Here is a 20,190-nt window from a genome sequence, read left to right as displayed (position 1 = left end):
AGTTTAACTTCCCTAAGTCACAAGTGCCAGGTTTCACATCTTCACTTGATGGTGTCCAAAATAAAAAGAGAGAAAATGCAGATGGTGGATGAGAGGATTTCCTTACATAAGGCTCTCTCCTTTATCAGTGAAGAAAATATTTTCCAGAATACTTCATATTACATTACCTGCTATATTTCTTTGGCCAGAATGGTATCTCACAACCACCTCTGCAGAACAATCCTAGGCAAGTGTGGGTGTGATTCCTATGATTGGCTAAAATAAATCATTTTTCATACCCTGGCCAGGGCGTTGCTACTTAAGCACATTTTTTAGCAAGGAAAATGTGAGACAATGGCTAACAAATAGGGAAATAATAGTCTATTACATCAAACATACAAATATAATACTTTAAATTTACAGAGGTTTTTTTTTTCTTATATTAGCTTGTTTGGTTTGTCTCACATTTATGTAAGAAAAGTCTTCCTTCCAGTTTTAGAGATGAGGAAACAGGTCTAAAAAATTACATGATTTGGCTGAGTATTACAAAACTGATAAGAGACATGAGGAAATATCATTCAGGTCTTTCTATTCCTAGTTCAAGACTTCATTTGCTATAGATTGTCTATCATTAAAAAAAGACAAATAAACATGTCTTCAAAACAATAACAATGTACTAGTGGATTTCGATATATAGATGAATCATCATTACCAGAAATCTAATTTCCTTTTTTTCCTTAGGTGCTAAAGTTGTCTTGGGAGTAGCTAACGACTGTGGAGTGGCCTCTTGGTAGAAAGAAATGATGGCCATGTAACAGGGTACATAAGCCATTTCTCATGCAAAGGAAACTTGCAATTATTAAAATAGGTGGAATAAGTCATTTTTCACAGATTGTTCTGAACAAGCAGGAAATGTGAATTGGGTGATTTCATGGAAGATTTTCATTTTTATACAAATGAGATACAAGGTAAGACACCTTGTGCATCATTTCACTTAGCTCAACAGTATGTAGTGAAGATTCTGTTGCTGTACAGGATTCTAATGGCTTTAAGATATTGACAGGTTTTTGTTTTGTTTTTGTTTTCCTTTATCTCAATAGTAGAAAAATAGCAGAACAGACTTGGTTTTGTGTATAGTCTCTCTCTCAGATACTTCTTTCTTTTAAGGAATATCATTCAGATGTTTTGCTGACTGGTGTAGGAATTAATTCCAAAGCAATCTTGTCACACTTAAGCTCACAAGACTTTGGTTCTCTCTTATTTTGTGATAATTCAGTACTAAGAACTTTAATGTCTGAGGATCGCTTCTGGTGACAGCCAGTTTGATATGCTGGTTCAGATAAACCAAATTTAAGTACGAAAACAGAAGTGCTACATTTCCTGCATTATGAATATTCTTAGTACCTGAGGTAATAAAAGATTCTTTTCACAGATACTTATTATGTTAAAGTTATTTGATTTTATTCAAAGCATTCTTATTCAGTAGACATACTGATTTTCAGAGATGTTAAATTATAATTCCTTTGATGTTTTATGGCCTGTTCTTGAATATCTGAAAAGTGATGAAGAATAAAATCCAACTTCAATTATTTGTTTATACTATACAAAATAAATAATTATTGTTTACAATGTATATTTTGGATTTCTTTATTTGCAAGGAATCAAGCAATTAGTTTTATAAATAAAAATTTCGCTAATTTAGTAAGACACCTTCTAAAACCTCTTATTAAAAATAAAGTGAGCCCTCTTTCTCATATCTATCTATCTTTTGGGAATTCTCTCTGCCTGCTTATATTTTTAGTATTTTATCCATTTCATGATTATAAGAAAGAGCGTTCAGTAATATGAGCATCTAAATGAATTTTGAGGTGCTGACAAGTTTATAAATGATTTTAAGGTACCTATAATAAATTTAGAAATGGCTCATGTGAATGGATTTTTAAGAGTTCAACAAATTGGAGAGAATAGCTGAAGTTATGTAAGGAGTTTATAAAACATTTCAGTTTATCAAACATACTTTGGACTGGAAATTCCAGATTGCAGTATAAATTAGAACTAGTGATTAAAATATCCATTAATATATTAACATTTTCTAAAATACCACTTACAGAGTAATAACAAGAACCTTGTGTGTCTGTGCCTTGGATAGTTATCTTCTCAGACTAGTTTTTCATCTGTAAGATGATGAGCTGACTAGACAGGGTCATAAACTCAAATGCCTATTGGGGGCAAAGTGAATGAGGAATGGCTGAGACTCTATAACTGGAGAGTTCGTGTTCTGTCCAAGATGGTTTCTGTCTTTCTCTCTATATACCTCTATGCACACCTACTTGCTTACCCACCTAAATATTCTGGCTTAAGTAAAACGTGTAGGAGTTGAATGTAGCCAATGGGGATCCAAATTGCAACTTCTGAAATAACAGAATAACTAAGATCACATCCACCTTTAAAAAATGGAATTTTTTGAGAAGAGGAGAAAAAGAAAAGTATATAAAAAGTGGAATTTTTAAATAACCACATAAGAGAATCATTTATTTATTCTAAACGTCTACTTGCCTAATTCGTGTTACCCTTAAAATTTGACACTGCAGTTGATCCCAAATTCCTAGCTCTATTTGAATGTTATAAGAGCAATGATGAAATAAATTGATTATATGTATATGTAATTATTAAACGTATTACTTGATATACATATGTACACACACAGACACATACACTAAGTATACACAATTTTATTTATTTCCTGGAGAAATGGATCCTATCACTGACTTTGGAGTTAGATAATATAGAACTTTTAAAATATAAAATGAACCTTGATGGATTCTTGTGAAGAAAATCAGACTTCAAAGATCCAACAGAAAGGACATCTCCCATTACATGAGAAACTGGCTTTTTCCTTTGCACGATTTTTCATTTCATCCTTTCTTTTGCCCGATCAGTTTTTTTAAACTTTAATCATCAGTAAATCACAGTTACTTAATTTAGTTCTTTGTAAATACTTAATGCAATAAAAAGAGTAGATCCATTTTACAAAGGATTTTTTTTCTCCTGCAATTCAAGTTTCTTCTCCTATTTTATAGTCCTAGTAGTTATGAATCTTGAAAAGTTAAGCCTGAGTGCTTAGGACTGTTTAGAGAAAATCAATTATAGCTTATCCTAGGCTCAGGAGACAATATAAAATTCTGGTGATGTTCAGGTTTAAGGTTATGGCTGGATCATTAAATTATGTTCAGTATCAAATCCATGGGGGAAATAGCCAATTCTGGGTTATCCAGCTTACCACAGAGAGCCAACATAAGGTTTTGGATTTCCCAGAGACTCCATGAGAACAGACACTTTGCTCTTTTCACTGCCGTATCTCCAGTGCTTTGAGTCATTATTCTCAATGTTTAGAACAGTATCTGGGACATAATAGTTACTCAATAAATGTGTATTTAAAAATTATTGAAATAAGTTTGGGAAAATATTTTAGGAGCCAGATATAGATATAGATTTGATGTCTATTGATACAGATGCCAAATATAGATATAAGTTTTCCCATTAAGAGCAAATATTAGTACAAGGGAAATATAATACAAGAATTGAAAAATGTTTTCTTAGTAGTTCTTTGAACTATGGGATAAACGTTTTATTTTTCATTGCTGTAATAGTAATAACCAAAAGAAGTTTTGAAGGTTAAAAGAGATTTTCATTTTCTTAAAATTTCTAACAAAAATCTAAGAGGCTGAATTAGATATTGACCTCAGTTGTAGTATTGAATTAGGTTTGCAATAGATAATATTGATTAAAATACCCTACTATAACTATTATATAGTTAATAGATCAGTGAATAAATGAGTTAACTGTAGCCATATTCACTTATTAGTGTCAGCAATAAGATAATTATGGAATCTTATTTCATTCAATTCTTATACTTTGCAGATATACACACACGTGCATATATGCATATATATGCACATGAATGTGTGTGTTTGTGTGTGTGTGTATGTGTGTTATACAAATTGACTGAGGCAGGTTATCTAGTTTTAATATTTGTAGAAATTCTGCTTCTTAATTTTGTTGTCTGTAATCTGCACTGCGTAATTACGTTTTTATTATTGTTACCCCCAACCCCCCACCCAACTGCAGGTCATTTAAATTCTGTTGACTTCTACTTTACAACTAATATGTTTCAAGTAGTATCCCTTCATTAATTGATAACATCGTATGATTTTGAGTTATGAAAATAACTCACCAGGTGAGAGAAATGCTTATTTCAAAACAAACACCAATTCATATTTATATTGCTGTGTCCTCATTATTTTATTTCATGCTTGTAGAGCAGGACAATGACTAGAGATTTGTATGTTATCTACTACGGCATCAGATACTATCCCCACTTAGTAGCTTAGAAGAACAATTACTTGTGTTGCTCACGAATCTTCTATTTAGGCAGTATTTGGCAGAATGGTTTACCTCGGCTGCGGTAACTAAGGTAAGGGGTGGATAATCCACTTTATGATAACTCACTCACATGATTGACACATTATGACTGAATATTGGCTGGAAGCTCAGCTAGGGTTGTGGGTGAGAGGCCCCCTTTTTTTTTTTTCCTCCATGTAGGCCCCTTCATCAACTGCTTAGGTTCCCTCACAGCATGGTGGTTTCCTTTCAGTAGCATACTAAGAAAACAAAGTGTAAGTGTATGGTGTTTTTGTGACCTAGACATGGAAATCACATAGCATCACTTAATCCATACTTTGTTGGGTGAGGTAGTCACAAAGGCCCACTTAAGTACACCAGGTGGGGAAATAGACTCCCTCCTTTGATTAGCAGTTAACAGGGTTCTAGAGTAACATGTAAGATGGGAGGTACTGTTGCATTCACCTTTGGAAACTATGACTTACTATTAAAAAATCTATTATTTTAAGTTTTCCAAACAAAGTCTTCTGGAGAAGTGTTTTGACTCAGAAATGAAAGTGTTGCATTTGTAATCCTGAATCATTGTGTATGTATTTACATGGCTGTCTTCTCAATGGGGATTTTCATAGTCTTATGGCTTAGAACCTTCTTCTGTATTAATACATTAGAAGCCAGAGTATATGTCTACTATGTGTGAAGAAATGGATAAATACTTTTTGATGCCATCATTTTTTTGAAGCTTTCCTTATACCTAGAAAGGACCTTTCCTAGGATATAGTAGAAATCATGAGAATCAATCATGAGCATGTTTCATGTTTCCTGTGTATTATTAGACTCTAATCTCTTTTTCCTACTCATTGTTTTTCTATATCAACAACTGCATGTACACATAGAAGACTAAAATTATTTAAGACTGGAACCTATATAAAAGGATTTGCATCAAAGGAAGAGTTAATATTGAAAGTTTGTTAACTGGAGTAAACGGGAGAATTAGAACTTTTCTGTAAACCCTATTTTAGAACAGTTGAAAAATAATACATCAGACATTTCTGATGTCAGTATTGATTTCAGTTTGATTTTGATCTGAGCTACATCCTCAGCAGTTTTCTGGCAAAGATGACATTTTGGCATGATGAGTATTCTAGTTAGTGTTAAGATGTAGTTTTGATATTCATGACTTCAAGATATATTAAAACTTTAAAGCAAAGCTTAAGAATGATTTATGCCGTCACAAGTTCTTTGTGTTTTATACTGAGGGGGAAATAAAATTTAGATAATATGTAATGTTCAGTCTCTCTTTCTCTTATGCTTTCTCTCTTTCTCTGTCTCTTTGATAGAGTCTGTAAGAACAGTGAAACCAGACATTTTCTTTTTGTAAGAAGGCAATTATGAAACCCAAGGTGCAGTGAAATAATCTTTGGGGTAAAATTCTTTGGAATAGTCTGTTTGCTGCTAGTTTCAAGTAGAAAAATAGTAGGAGTATTTTTTTCTCCAGCTGCACTTTTAATAATTCTACATTTTGATTTGATTTGATATTAAAATTGAACATAATTCTATTTTATATTAATTATTTTATAATGGATGTTTATCCAAATCACAAACAATATTTAGTTTGATTCATATTATACATTAGCTTCTTTTTTTATATACACCATCCATTTCTGGAAGAATGTTTAATGACTTGGCTATTCTGTCCAAATGTCCCTTTCATATCCATTGATTCATTACTTCATTCTTATATTTATTCATCTATTGTGCCTTTCATGACTATTCATTTGATGAACATATACTGTGCTCTCCATGTGCTTGGGCAAGTGTTACCTGTAAAGTTAAATAAGATGCTGTCCTTTCTCTGAAGTTTATAACCTATTACAGAAGGTTATTGATTTTTATTTTAACTGCAAACATTGATATATTCAAACATGAATTCATAAAGTGGCTTCCTTGGTAACTGTCTATTGAAATATATTCATTTTTATATTAATCACAAAGGATTTCTATATGAATTTCTTTCTTTGTATTCTTCACATTATGTGGATGAATGGTTATCTTTTTATGCTATTAAAATCACATCTCAAGGCCGGGCATGGTGGCTCACACCTGTAATGTCAGCACTTTTGGAGGCCGAAGCAGGTGGATCACTTGAGGCCAGGAGTTCAAGACCAGCCTGACCAACATGATGAAAGTCCGTACCTACCCAAAATACAAAAATTAGCCATGCGTGATGGCGGGTGCCTGTAGTCTCAGCTACTCGGGAGGCTGATGCAGGAGAATCACTTGAATCCAGGAGGCAGAGGTTGTAGTAAGCCGAGATTGTGCCACTGCACTCCAACCTGGGCAACAGAGCAAGACTCTGTCTCAAAAAAAAAAAAAACACATCTGAAGAATAATAGAATATTTTCAGCCCTACCCAATGAACTGTGATGAGGTTAGTATTATTAACATTTCAATAGCACTAATATGGTATATATTCAAGAAAGTAAAACCCTTATAGTTTTTATTGTTACTATATAGTGGCTTGTTACACAGGAACTGTTTTCTTTGAGTTATCTAGTTTTCTATGATTAGTATCCTTCACCATAAGGGAGTGGTTTTAAAGTGTTATTCCTAGATCAGCAGTATAGGCATCATCTGGTAGATTGTTAGAAATGCAAATTATCAGGCTCTACCTCCTACCTATTGAATCAGAAATGCTGAAGGGGCAGCCCAGCAAACTATCAAGGCCCTCCAGGTGTTTCTGATGTACACCAATGTTTGAGAATCACTAAGAATTCCAACACACTTATTTATCTACAGGAAAATTTTGAGACATTCATAGGATACTAGGGGTGCAGATATACTTGCTTTACCTAGTTAAAATTGAGTGGAAGTTAATAAGCTTATGTCAGGTTCAGGGCTATGACTATGCCTGCTTGGGATCAGGTTCCAGCCTCAGCTGAGGTCCAAGGGGAGTGGGTGGATGGGTGATAGCTGAAAGAACACCCAGGGGCTGTGGGCAGGTGAATATGGTTTTATTCAGCAGCTCTCTCAGCAGCAGCTTTTTCACACTAGCTCCCTCACACTGTCTACCTTTATCATGGCTGTTTGCTGTGGCTCTGCGCCTCCTCTCGGCAGCCTGCTTTGTGCCTCCTGTGGTCCCCACACCTGCAGCTGCACAGCTGTCTCTCCCTTGCCTTCATGGTCAGCAGCTTAACTCTTTCCCTCTGGGCATGAGTGTGAGCATGTTGAGCCCTGTTGTGCCCTGGCTCCTCTCTGTCCATCTGTAAGACAGACAAAGCTGGTTCTCTCTCTTTCTTTGGGCGCCAGCCCGAGCCATGCTGAACTGAGCCCTGTGCACAACATCAGCAGGGCATTTATACCTTCTGCAGACAATAGTGGCTCAGAGACTAGTGTGAACTTACACAAACAGGTTATATAACAAGTGGAGTATGCGCCTGGCACCTTAAACTCACTGAGTCATGCAGGCCTGGATGTCTGCCTCGGCATAATCTTGACCAAAGCACACCCATATACCTTATAGCTTAATTTTTCTTCAAAGAATCTGTGTTATAAAACTATCAACATTTGTCAAATTATCTCTATTCTTTAGGAGAAAAATCAAATATATATCTGTCCCTTAGCATTAGTTTGATATTTAAATAATCAAATCTATATGTAACTTTATAACTTCTTCTGCAATCGTAACATTCTCTCTGGTTTATAATCAAATGTTACCATTGGAATGTTGGCCTAATTTAGAGAAACTTGAGCAGGATAAAGCAATTCTCTAATACTCTAATACTATGAGAAAAAGATAATATTTAATGGTCACTTATTAATTTTAGACCATTTCAAATATGTTATCTCAATTTTCACAAACACTCTGAAATAGTTATTATTGCCCCCCTTTAATTGATCAGTAAACCAAGGAACAAAAAGAAGTGTTAAATAACTTGCCACAGCTAGTAAATGGTGGAACCAACATTTGACCCAAGTGTTGTCACTTCAGAAACAACCTTAACTAGTTATGCTTCATTGCTGCAGTGGAAAGTATATTGGGTCTGGTGTTAGACTTCGGTCAATGGTGCTCAAAGCATGGTTTCTGGATCAGCAGTATCTGCAAGATCTGGAAACTTGTTTGAAATGCAATTGCCTTAGCTTCATCTCCTCCCTACTGAAGCAGGAACTCTAGAGGTGGGGGCCCAGCAATCTGTGTTTGAATAAACTCTTTAGGTGATTCTGATATACTATAAAGATTGAAAACTATTCATCTAAATTCAACACCAGATTCTATTATTTACTTTCTCTAGAATTGGAAACCAAATAATTTGTAAACAATTGTAAGTGAAACAAATATTTTAAGTGGGATTCTTCATTTTTAAAAGGAGAGTAATAGTAAACCCTACATGTTAGGTGGTTGTGAAATTTCTGAACTATTGAATGAGAAAGTTTCATGATTCACAAAGTACTCTTTTTTTTTTTTTTTGGCCCAGGCTGGAGTGCAGTGATCTTGGCTCACTGCAACTTCTGCCTCCTGGGTTCAAGCGATTCTCTTGTCTCTGCTTCCGGAGTAGCTGGGATTACTGGCGCCCACCACCATACCCTGCTAATTTTTGTATTTTTTAGTAGAGACAGGGTTTCCCCGTGTTGGCTAGGCTTGTCTCGAACTCCTGACCTCAGGTGATCTGCCTGCCTCAGCCTCCCAAAATGCTGGGATTACAGGCATGAGCCACCGCACCTGGCCCACAAAGTACTCTTAAAATGTTACTTGGTATTAATTTATCACATCAGCTTGTGAAGGTGACTGAAAGTTTCATGATAAGTTATGCTTTTAGGAGTTTTATAATGTCTTAGGAAACTTGTATAACTTCTTAATCAACAGCTTCAATAGATTAAACTTGATTAGTATGTCATTGTAGATTGCTCTCTAATGAAGCAAGCCTGAAGATCATGAGATGGGATGAGAATGAGTGGGAATAATCTACCTAGAATACCTACTTTGGAAGGTGAGCTTAGTAAGTAGGTAACCGTGAGGAATTGTAGAGTTTATGGGAGAGTAGGTCAGGAAGAGAATTTGCTGAAATACACTAGTGCCAACCTATTTATTTTGGTTCTGCCCATTCCTGATGCTTAGGGTTCCAGTCCATCTTTTTTGTGTAGCTCAGATAACTCCATCTTCAGTATGAATCAGTAGCCCTGAGATTTGAGTATAGTGCAGGAGAGTATGGAGCCATTTATGGATGGCTCCAAGAAGGGGACTCTAGCTCAGAGTCGAACAAGCCCATGTGATGATTTGAGCTCTGAGAGAGCTGCTAGGAGGAAAATAAAGAGTTAGGCACTGAGGCTGGATAAATCTATGAAGGCTTCTCTTTCATAACTCTTAGTAACATTTAGGTGTAACTGCAGGGCTCAAAAGAAATGAGGACATGGGATGCTCTTAGAATTCAGAGGGATAAGGGTTTAGGATATTCTGTATGTGTGTGTCTCTTTGTTTCTGTCTGCCTGCCTTTCTCTCTCTTGCTCTCTCTTTCTCTCTCTCTCTCTCATACACACACATATACACACAGACACAAACACACACTTGCACACACAGACGTATCTCCTTGAGTAACTAAAATAAAGGCTGAGTGGGAAAAATGTGGTAATGGCTGAGTAAGACCTTAGAGAGTTGTAGTATAACCCACTGCCGGGTTCTTTTCTCCCTTCTTCCACAATAGAGATGAATGTCAAGAGAATAATTCTGAGATGCTTTGGAGAAAATTGACTTGAGAGCTTTGGAGAAAATTGACTTGAGAGCATATTATTTTATGTTCTACTCAGACCTTTTCTCCAGTCTGCTGAAGAGTCTGTCCTCCAAAATCTTTTTCAGTTGCTTGTTCTCATTTAGTTATTAATAGAATGAGTATCACTAAAGTTATAGAAGGAATAAAGGATCTCCTAATCTTTTTTATTTTTATTTTTTTGAGACAGGGTCTTGCTCTGTCACCCTGGCTGGAGTGCAGTGACAGGATCTCAGCTCGCTGTAGCCTTGACCTCCTGGGCTCATGCAGTCCTCTCATCCCAGCCTCCCAAGTAGCTGGGACTACAGGCATGAATCACCATTCCCTCCATTTGTTTTTTTTTTGTTTTTTTTTACTTTGTGTAGTGTCAGGGTTTTGCTGTGTTGCCCTGGCTGGTCTTGAACTCGAGCTTAAACAATTTGCCCACCTTGGCCTCCCAAAGTTCTGGGAGTATAGGCATGAGCCACCATGCCCAGCCTAGAATCTCTTAATCTTATAAACAATTTTTAAAATTAATCCAGATGAATCCAGAAAGTTGCATCTGAATCATGTAGGGAACAAAGTATATAGATATAGCCTGGTATATAGTCTGGTATATTTTTTTATACACATTCTGTATGTTTTAAAGCTTAGAAAACATAGTATATTATTGTAGGGGAGTAAGTGTATAGTACTGTTTCATGAGGAGGTCAAAATAATGTTTCATGAGGAGTCAAAGATTACCGCATATTCAAAATTTGAGCTTGCTTATGGATTTAAATTGGGAAAATGGAGGGAATTATTGTATTATACAAGCCGAGATATTATTGTTTTCATGGAGCCAAAAAACTGCTTATTGACTTCAAAGGAGAAAAAAAAGGAGACAGTGTCACATTACTGGTAGATTTAAATGAGTACTTACTTGTCCACTTATATCTTTGAAAGTAAAATAGAGTTTTTTTAGTCTGATATTATTTTTTAGGTTTTCCCATATGCAATGTCTTACTACATCTAGGCCTAATGGAAATTGCAGTGTGTGAGATTCATATGCCACAATCTGTCTTCAGTTTACTCTTGACTTTCCATACCTTTAAGCACTAAAAGTAACTATAAAGTTGGAGTTAATATATTTTGTTTCTCACATGTTTTCAGAATGATGCCTGCTCATCTTTAGTTGTTCTTGGCATTCTCTATCAGAGTTCATTGTGTTGACTAGAGAGGTTGACTATACAGAACAGTGTTTTTATATGTGTAGAACACCGTACTTATGTAGTTGAACATATCAAATCTTATTGTAATTATTTATTTATGAGTCTTTCTCCTCAACTGCTGTCCACTAATTGTGAAAATATATTGGAAAGGCACTGTTATTCATTTAGCTTCATGGAATGGTAAATATCATACGCTCAATGACATTTTGTGGCATTTTAAACTGAATATTTCTTGAGTAGAATTCTTTTTTTTAACTTTTGTGTAGGTGGGGATGTTGGAGATTATATGCAATTTAGTTCTTAATTTTTCTATGATCTTATGAGATCATAGCCAACCAATGGGAATGTCTAAATAGATTACTTTGCTTGCGTAAGTTATTACTATTATTGTTTATTCTGCCTTTGTTTCATTCTAGAGTAAATCATAGATTCTAGGAAGAAGGAAAATTTGAAATTTTGGGCTTAATATTTAGATCTAAGGTACATTAAGTGATACCTTACCCTCCTGAAAGAGTGAATATATTTGGTTTATTCTCAGGTAATAATTTGGGAAGTGTAAGAAAATATGGATGAGTGAATTTCCTACAACATTGTAGTAGAAGTATCATGTGAAATTGATACTCAAAGACCTGTCTAAGAAGGCTAGCATTTTATAAAGTATTACGTTAGTAATGAAATGTTACCTTCCAAAGACACAAATAACTTTTTCATGTACTTCAGTCTTGGAAGTTATCAGAAGAAACATAGTGGCATAAAAACTGTGCAAGAATTTTAGCCTTATTTATTGATACTCCATCTATATGCACAAATGAGATGTAATCATGTACCAAAATACATTTATCTACTGTTTCTTGTTTAGGAATAGGTAAGAAACCCAGATTTAAATGAAAACCATTTGTTTTATCTTATTTTCTTGCCTAAAGCAAAGAGTTGATTGACTGCTATAATATGAATTTAGAGGTAACTAAAATCCCAATATTGTTGAAACTACACTACTATATAACTTGTCAGTTCTTAGGGATGCACATAAAAGCCAGATACATTTTCACTTGCTCAGTGTATTGTGAAAAGTCTAATGGGGCTTTTTTCTCTCTTGAAAATTCTTCATGGGCTTTGAGTTACATCTCAAGGGCTGTGTTGTGGTTTTACAATTAACCTCTTATAGTGAAGAGTATACACAGATGTTTTATAGTAGTTAACTCATTGTATACCATATTATTTCAGTGTGTATGTGCCCAGAGCAATCTATAGTAGCAGTAGATAAAACAAGAGCAAAGCTTTAATTCTAAGGGCTACTTTAGTATTCCCTGTATAATTTTTGTTGCTATCACTTCTCCTGGAATGTTATGGTAAGAAAGCTTCCAGATCCCTAGTTTATAATCACAGTTGCTTCTGCTTTTTTCATGCTGTCATGGTTCCTTAATGAAGGTGGGTGTTTTTTTGTTTGTTTTCATTTTAGTTTTTAACATCACGGAGATGAATTCTTCTATGCTCTTAGCTTTCTTGAGATGGCACTGTAAGCTATTTACTCCAGAATAAACTGTCATTTTTTCAAAAAAGGAAACACAAACATAGCATTATTGACAGTAACATACCTTGCATTGTTTCAGAGTTTTAAAAGTTTATAATTTTATAAAAGCTAATTTTGTACTAAATATTACTCTGTTAATTCCTTTTTACAGTAAATTATTCCAATAAAATAGTAATTAAATGTTTCTTTTAGAGGAGATTGATTTTCATTTTCTTCTTTTTTTCCTCATTTATTTTTAGATTATTGTAAAAAAAAAAAAAAGGAAAACCCTCACAGTTTTCTAAAAGAATATAATGAAAAATATCTAGGTCACATATTTATTTCTGCTAAACTCTGATCCCTGGAAACTTGTGGGAGAGAATTGTAGTCAGTATAGTTCATGATTATTAGCAACAATATCACATAGGAGAAAGACAGTAATTTTTTAAAAATGACTAGAAAAGTAGAGATCTATCATTCATGTACATAAATGACAAACACCCCTACTTTAAAAAATTTATTTTCTAGAGTTAAATATGTTCTGGAGATTTTAAATTTATAGAAGAAAAAGATCATCATATTCCTAGCTCCAAGGAATAAGAACACATCATTTTGTGCCAAGAAAAGAGCAATGTGAAAACCTTAAGGGCATTATTTCTTCTTTCTGTGGAAACACAATGTTGGCAAATTATCCATTATTTTTTCTCACAATGAAATCAGAATAATAATAAAAAGAAAAAAATATTGTATGCAAGTCCCTATGATAAATGCTTTATGTGTATTGTCTCATCTAATATTCTCCAAAGCACATGACATTATTACTATTGCTCTTTTGTTGCTGAGGAATTAGGTTTGAAGGAATTTATGTCATTAGGAAATGGCATGTGGAATGGGGTGAATGGCCCAGTCAGTGGGACTGTAGAGTCTGAGGTGTTAACTCTGAAGATGTGGATTTTTGTACTAGAGGAGACAGTAACATCAACACTTCTTTCATCTTTTCTATCTCAGAATTTTTGCTTTCCCCTCTGCTCCTCTTCCCTACAAATAAATATTTTCTACTAGTGATATTATAGTAGCAGCTTCCTTTTCTAATCTAAAGTTAGGAGCAGATAAAGCTGTGGTACCTGGATTCCATAGCACAAAATGCATGTATATTTGTTTTCCTTATAAAATATTTACTAACAAAGTTGATTACATTATATAGTAAATTGGGCTCTTGAATAAAGTTTCAAAGGAACTCCACCAGTTGACTGTACTAACCAGAGTTTATTTTATGGCATCCTACTTTTAGTATAGCGCTTCCCCTTTTATTAGAAACATGCTGTTGCTCTTACAGATTCCTATTCAGCCTTTGGAGCCAATGTGAGATTTTTTTTTTTTTTTTTTTTTGAGACGGAGTCGCACTCTGTCGCCCAGGCTGGAATGCAGTGGCGCGATCTCCGCCCACTGCAAGCTCCGCCTCCCGGGTTCACGCCATTCTCCTGCCTCAGCCTCCCGAGTAGCTGGGACTACAGGCGCCCGCCACCACGCCCGGCTAATTTTTTTTTGTATTTTTAGTAGAGACGGGGTTTCACCGTGTGTTTGCCAGGATGGTCTCAATCTCCTGATCTTGTGATCCGCCTTTCTTGGCCTCTCCAAAATGCTGGGATTACAGGTGTGAGCCACCGTGCCTGGCCCCTTGTGAGATTTTTAAGAGCAGTTTCTTAAAGGTGATTTTTAGTTGCTCACTGAAATACTATTAACTAAAACTATTAATCCAAGTGTAGTATAAAATTCTTAAGCTGCTTAATTCAAATCAGAGTGACTCTTGTTTGTCATGGGCTCTTATAACTCCATCAGCATCAGTTGAATAGAAGTGTGTTTGTGTCCATTTTAGTGGAGAGAACTTCTATCTGGATCTCATGGGGAAAAAGTCAAGGTTGAGGCAGTTGTTCTGAGCCTTGATCCGTTTAACATTTGTTCAGTTTTCTAAAGACCTGAGAATTACATGGGCGTTGATCTGTATCGGTTGCTATTAATAATCTTGGATTATTTTATTTTTGCATGAATAAAAAAACAAATATGTGGAGTAAAGGCTGATTTCAGTATTACCAGTTTGATTGCAGAGATTTATATTTCCTCAGTTTCAAGATTAGAAAAATAAGTTCAGCTTTAAAGAATAATTTTCCTTGTATTTGTTGGGTGTATTTTTTCAAAAAGAACTTGTAATGTTTTTAGATGAGCTTGGTAAACATGTACTTTGAAGTAATATACACAAGATATAATATCTATTTTTAGTTCTAAAGTTACTGTCATTTGCAAGGGCATGTATTTCCAAAAACAAATAATAAAAAACTTTTATTTTCATAGCTATTAAATTGCATAACAGTCTTCTTTGTCTACCCAGTAGTTACCTAATTTCCATCCAAAATTACGGTTCTAGCAATGTATGAGAACTGGATAATTAACATTAGAAATAAAAAATGAAGAAATTCATTGGAATGAGTCATGTTACCTTTAATAAAAGCTTGACAAAAAATGAATTCTGCCTACTAATATAAATGGCCTAGCTAAATGAGCAAACAACTTTCTCTTCTTAGAACAAGTAGAAAACATATAAGGAATAAATAATATAGAATTAGATAAAAGTAAGCTAAAAATAAATGAAAAATATACAGTGGTGAAATAAAATTATCAAGAATCTGAATAGGCACAAATAAAACTAGATTCTTTAACTGTACTTTCCATAGTGCTATAAAACTTAATCTATTCATTAATTTCTTTATATTTTTAACACTGTATATTTATTAAATAACCACTAGTGTCAAGAACTCTGTAGTCGTATGCCTACAAAGATATATTCTTTCCTTATAAAGGGAAAATAACTTGTATTAAGTCCTTTTTGCTATGTATTTTTACATATGTTGTTTCACTTAATCTTTAAAAGTGAATTTGATAATATTTCAAAATACAATTTATATATAATCAAATAGTGACTCAGAGAAAATACCCGGAAGCTAGTATTTTATTATTAAATCAATTTTTATTTTAAATATGTTCAACTTTTAATTTTCATTCAGGGGGTACATGTGAAGGATTACTACATAGGTAAGTTGTGTGATGCTGAAGTTTGTGGTACAATTATCCCATCACCCAGGTAGTGAGCATAGTATGCAACAGGTAGTTTTTCAGCCTTTCCCCATTTCCTCCTATAGTAGTTTCCAGTGTCTGTTGTTCCCATCTTTATGTCCATGTGTATTCAGTGTTTACCTCTCACTTATAAGTGAAAATGTGTGGTATAAAGTTTTCTGTTCCTGTGTTAATTCACTTGGGATAATGACCTCCAGTTGCATCCAAGGAGGACACAATTTAGTTCTTTTCATGGCTTTCATATTCCATGGTGTATATGTAACATATTTTCCTTATGCAGTCCACTGTTGATGGCACCTAGCTTGATTCCATGTTTTTGCTATTGTGAATAGTGCTGCAATGAACATGAAAATGCATGTGTCTTTTTTGCAGAACAAATTATTTTCCTTTGGGTATATACCTATTAATGAGAATGTTGGGTTGATTGGTAGTTTTGTTTGAAAATCTTTGAAAAGTTGCTAAATGGCTTTCCTTAGTGGCTGAACTTTCATTCCCACAAACAATGTATAAGTGTTCCCTTTTCTCTGCAGCCTTGCCAGCATCTATTGTTTTTTTGCTTTTTAATAATAGCCATTCTGACCAGTGTGAGATGGTATTTCATTGTGGTTTGGATTTGCATTTCTCTGATGATTAATAATGTTGAGCATGTTTTCATATGTTTGTTGGCCACTTGTATGTCTTCTTTTCAGAAGTATCTGTTCATATCTTTTGTCCACTTTTTAGTGGGATTACTTGTTCAATCTCAGAACATATTGGTCTATTAACATTTTTATTTTCTTCCTCGTTTAATCTTGGGACGTTGTGTGTTTCCCCAAATTTAGTTGAGTGTTGAGTTTAATTTCAGAATTTATTTGTTTGTTTTCTGCCTCAATGATCTGTCTAATGCTGTCACTGGAGGTATTGAAGTTTCCCACTATTACTGTATATCTGTCTAAATCTTATTGTAGGTCAAGAATAATTTGTTTTATGAATCTGAGTGCTTCAGTGTTTTATGTGTATATATTTAGAATAGTTAAATTTTGTTGAATTGAACCTTTTTTAGGTAATGCCCTTCTTTTTCGTTGATCATTGTTGGTTTAAAGCCTGTTTTATTTCACTTAAGAATAGTAACTCCTGCTCTTTTTTATTTGCTGTTTGCATGGTAGATGTTTCTCCACTCCTTTACTTTTAGCCTCTGGCTGTCATTATATGTGAGATGGGTCTGTTGAAGACAGCAGACCATTGGGTCTTGTATTGTATTATTATCCAGCTTGCCACTTTATTCCTTTTAAGTGGGGCATTATACCATTTACATTCAGTTTTAGTATTGATATAATAGCTTTTGATCCTGTCATATTGTTAGGTGGTTGTTTTGTAGACTTTATTTTATAGTTGCTTTATAGTGTCTGTGTGCTATGTGCTTAAGTGTGTTTTGTGGGAGCAGTTATCATTCATTTCTGTGTTTAGCACTCTCTTAAAGACCTTTTATAAGGCCAATCTAGTGGTAGCAAATTCCCTCTCTGATTGCTTATCCAAGAAAGATCTTCTCCTTCAGTCATGAAGCTTAGTTTGGCATGATATGAAATTCTTGGTTGAAATTTTTTTTTTTTCATAACAATGCTGTAAATAGGCCTCCAATCTCCTCTGGCTTATGAGGTTTCTGCTGAGAGGTCTGCTGCAAGCCTGATGGGACTCACTTTGTAAGTGCCCTGACCTATCTCTCTAGATGCCTTTTAATATATATATTTTTTTTGTTTGCATTCACCTTGATGACTCTGGTGACTCTGTGCCTTGTGGATGGTCATATTGTATAGTATCTTGCAGGGATTCTCAGAATTTACTGAATGTGCATGTCAACCTCTCTAGGGAGAGTGGAAAAATTTTTGTGTACTACATTCTTACATATATGTGCCAAGTTGCTTATTCTCCCTCCTAATCTCTCAGGAATGTCAATGAATCATTGGATTGGTCTCTGTATGAAATCCCGTATTTCTCAGAGGTTTTGTTCGTTAAATCAAAAAAATTGACTGTTGATTCAAATAACTGGTCTTCGAGCTCTGAGATTCTCTTCTCAGCTTGGTCTGTTCTGGTGTTGATATTTTGAACTGTATTATTAAGTTCTTGCCGTGAATTTTTCAGTTCCAGACATTCAATTTGCTTTTTTTCTTAAAATGGCTATTTCATCTATCAGCTCTTGGATCGTTTCACTGGGTTACCTGGATTGGTTTTCAACTTTCTCCTGAATCACAGTGAGCTTTCTTGCCATCTAGATTATGTATTCAATGTATGTCATTTCAGTTCTTTCAAACTGGTTAAGAACCATTATTATAGAGCTAGTGTGCTCCTTTGGAAGTAAGGAGACACTCTGACTTTTTAAATTGCCAGAGTTCTTGCACTGATTCTTTCTCATCTGAGTAGACTGTTGTCCATTTCATCGTGGTATAAATGGAATATATTCAATTGGCTTCATTTCTGGGTACTTTCGGAGGGCCAATGCTTTGTATAGGATCTTTATTTGTGGCTAGATTTTTGCCCTAGTATTCACAGACAATGAATGTTGGCAGAATATTTTTGGTATTGTGATTTGGGCTGCTATCCTGTAAATTGTGCTTAGGTAATGGCCAGCACACGGGCTCCTACTCAGCAACATGGGTCTTTTGTATTTCAGAATGTTCATGGCAGCACTCTGTGGTGGAGTAGGGAGATACAACCCCTTTACCAAGCCTGCTCCTAGGCCTTGGGGAAGCCCCCTTCAATAACTGGCATCAAGCCAGTGGGAGCGGTCAGACAGTGGCTTTAGGAGGGCTGGTGGGCAAGAAGGTCTGCAAAACACACATGCTCCAGTCCTGCACGAAAGTCTACCCTGCTCTCTGTTGGCCCTGCGGCCAGCTCAGGTTAGAGCTACTCAGAGGAAGATGGGGGACGTTAGCGGATGTGCATCTATGGCTTCGTTCTGCTGCAGCTGCCCCATGTATCAAACCCCTTTGGGCTCCACGTACACTGGAGAGGTCTTTGTGTAGTCTCCAGGCAGTTCAAATGTCTGTGGAGGTTGTGGGATCTCCTGTAGCTAGGATCCTGGAGGCCCGTAAGGAGAGTAGACTGCCCTGCTATCCCTTCACTCACCTCTTCCCTAGGAGCTGTTCAGGGGTGGAAACTAGCCCTAGCATTTGGCAACCTTGCACAAGGTTCCCGACTTTCTCCCTCGTCATTCTCGGTGCCCGCGTTGCCTCTCTATCAACTCTTGGTGTTTTCTTTCCAAATATCTGTTCTCTATCAACTCTTGGTGTTTTCTCTTGAAATATCTGTTCAAAGTGTGTTGGTTTACTTGATATTTTGATCTCTCTGTGGGAGGGGCACTTCCTGGCTGCATCTAGTCAGCCACCTTCTCCTCCTATTTATTTATTTCTTGAGGTGGAGTTTGGCAGTGTTGCCCAGGCTGGTCTTGAATGTCTGGCCTCAAGCAGATAAGTTACTAAAAAAATAAAATGAACTATTAAACCAAAATGTAGTTAAAAATTAAGAAATATTAAAATAAACTAAATTTTTCTTATGGGTCAGAATTGTCACTATGATATTGTTACTCCCAGTGTGCTTGTATTAGTGAACTTTACTAAATGAACTGTGGAGCTTTGTGACTCTATTAATTCTCTGAGGATTTTATCTAGAGATGTTTAGGAATTAGGATCCTCCTCTGTGACAACCGATAATAACACTCAACTTCCTGAAATTCTTACATTAGATGAGGAGGAATAATTGCGTATGAATAATTTTATGCATAAAACACTTTTTCCTATTCAGGTACAATATAATAAAGCCTTAAATATTTGAAAAACAGTTGGCCCTATAGCTTTATGTATTGTTTTATTTGGTATGTGAATACTTTTATTTTGTTATTCCTGTGGGGCAAAATCCCGTAATTATCACCCACATTTGTAGAGAAAATTGTCTCCTTTCCCTCCAAACATCATAATAGCTATAAAAAATAGGTTTAACCAAAGGAATAAACCAGTAGAATGAATGTCACTGTATTTATGTTTATGATTAAGTGTGTTTAAATGTGATTAAATATGTTTCTATGCTCCTTGTTTCATTAGTTTTTCATCTTGGAATTGAAATGTAAGGAATAGTCCAAATTAACAGGGAATAAAAATATTTGCTGTAAAATGATTGCTAAAGAAACAGAATATGGCACAAATGTTTTGAATTGTAGGAGGTTGGCACTATAAAATGAACAGATTATAGG

The 20,190-nt window shown here is 35.2% G+C and overlaps 1 protein-coding gene across 11 annotated transcripts in view, besides 1 other annotated feature; it reads left to right on the top strand.

The window, feature by feature from the left end:
- Positions 1-20,190, top strand: part of LINGO2 (leucine rich repeat and Ig domain containing 2) — a 1,275,985-nt gene that overhangs the window by 44,924 nt on the left and 1,210,871 nt on the right. The gene's annotated exons all lie outside the window — the stretch shown is intronic.
- Positions 9,558-9,727: an enhancer, noted in NCBI's record as "experimental_107631 CRE fragment used in MPRA reporter constructs". NCBI's record gives its function as "activates a minimal promoter by MPRAs in K562 erythroleukemia cells, with activity observed for both the introgressed and non-introgressed 9:29159034 variant alleles {active_cell/tissue: K562}" and the evidence as "EXISTENCE:reporter gene assay evidence [ECO:0000049][PMID:34662402]".

The sequence above is a fragment of the Homo sapiens genome, chromosome 9 (assembly GCF_000001405.40).
Source record: "Homo sapiens chromosome 9, GRCh38.p14 Primary Assembly".
Lineage (NCBI taxonomy): Eukaryota > Metazoa > Chordata > Mammalia > Primates > Hominidae > Homo > Homo sapiens.
Note: the sequence above shows the minus strand (reverse complement) of the source record. Positions and strands in the feature narration are given on the sequence as shown.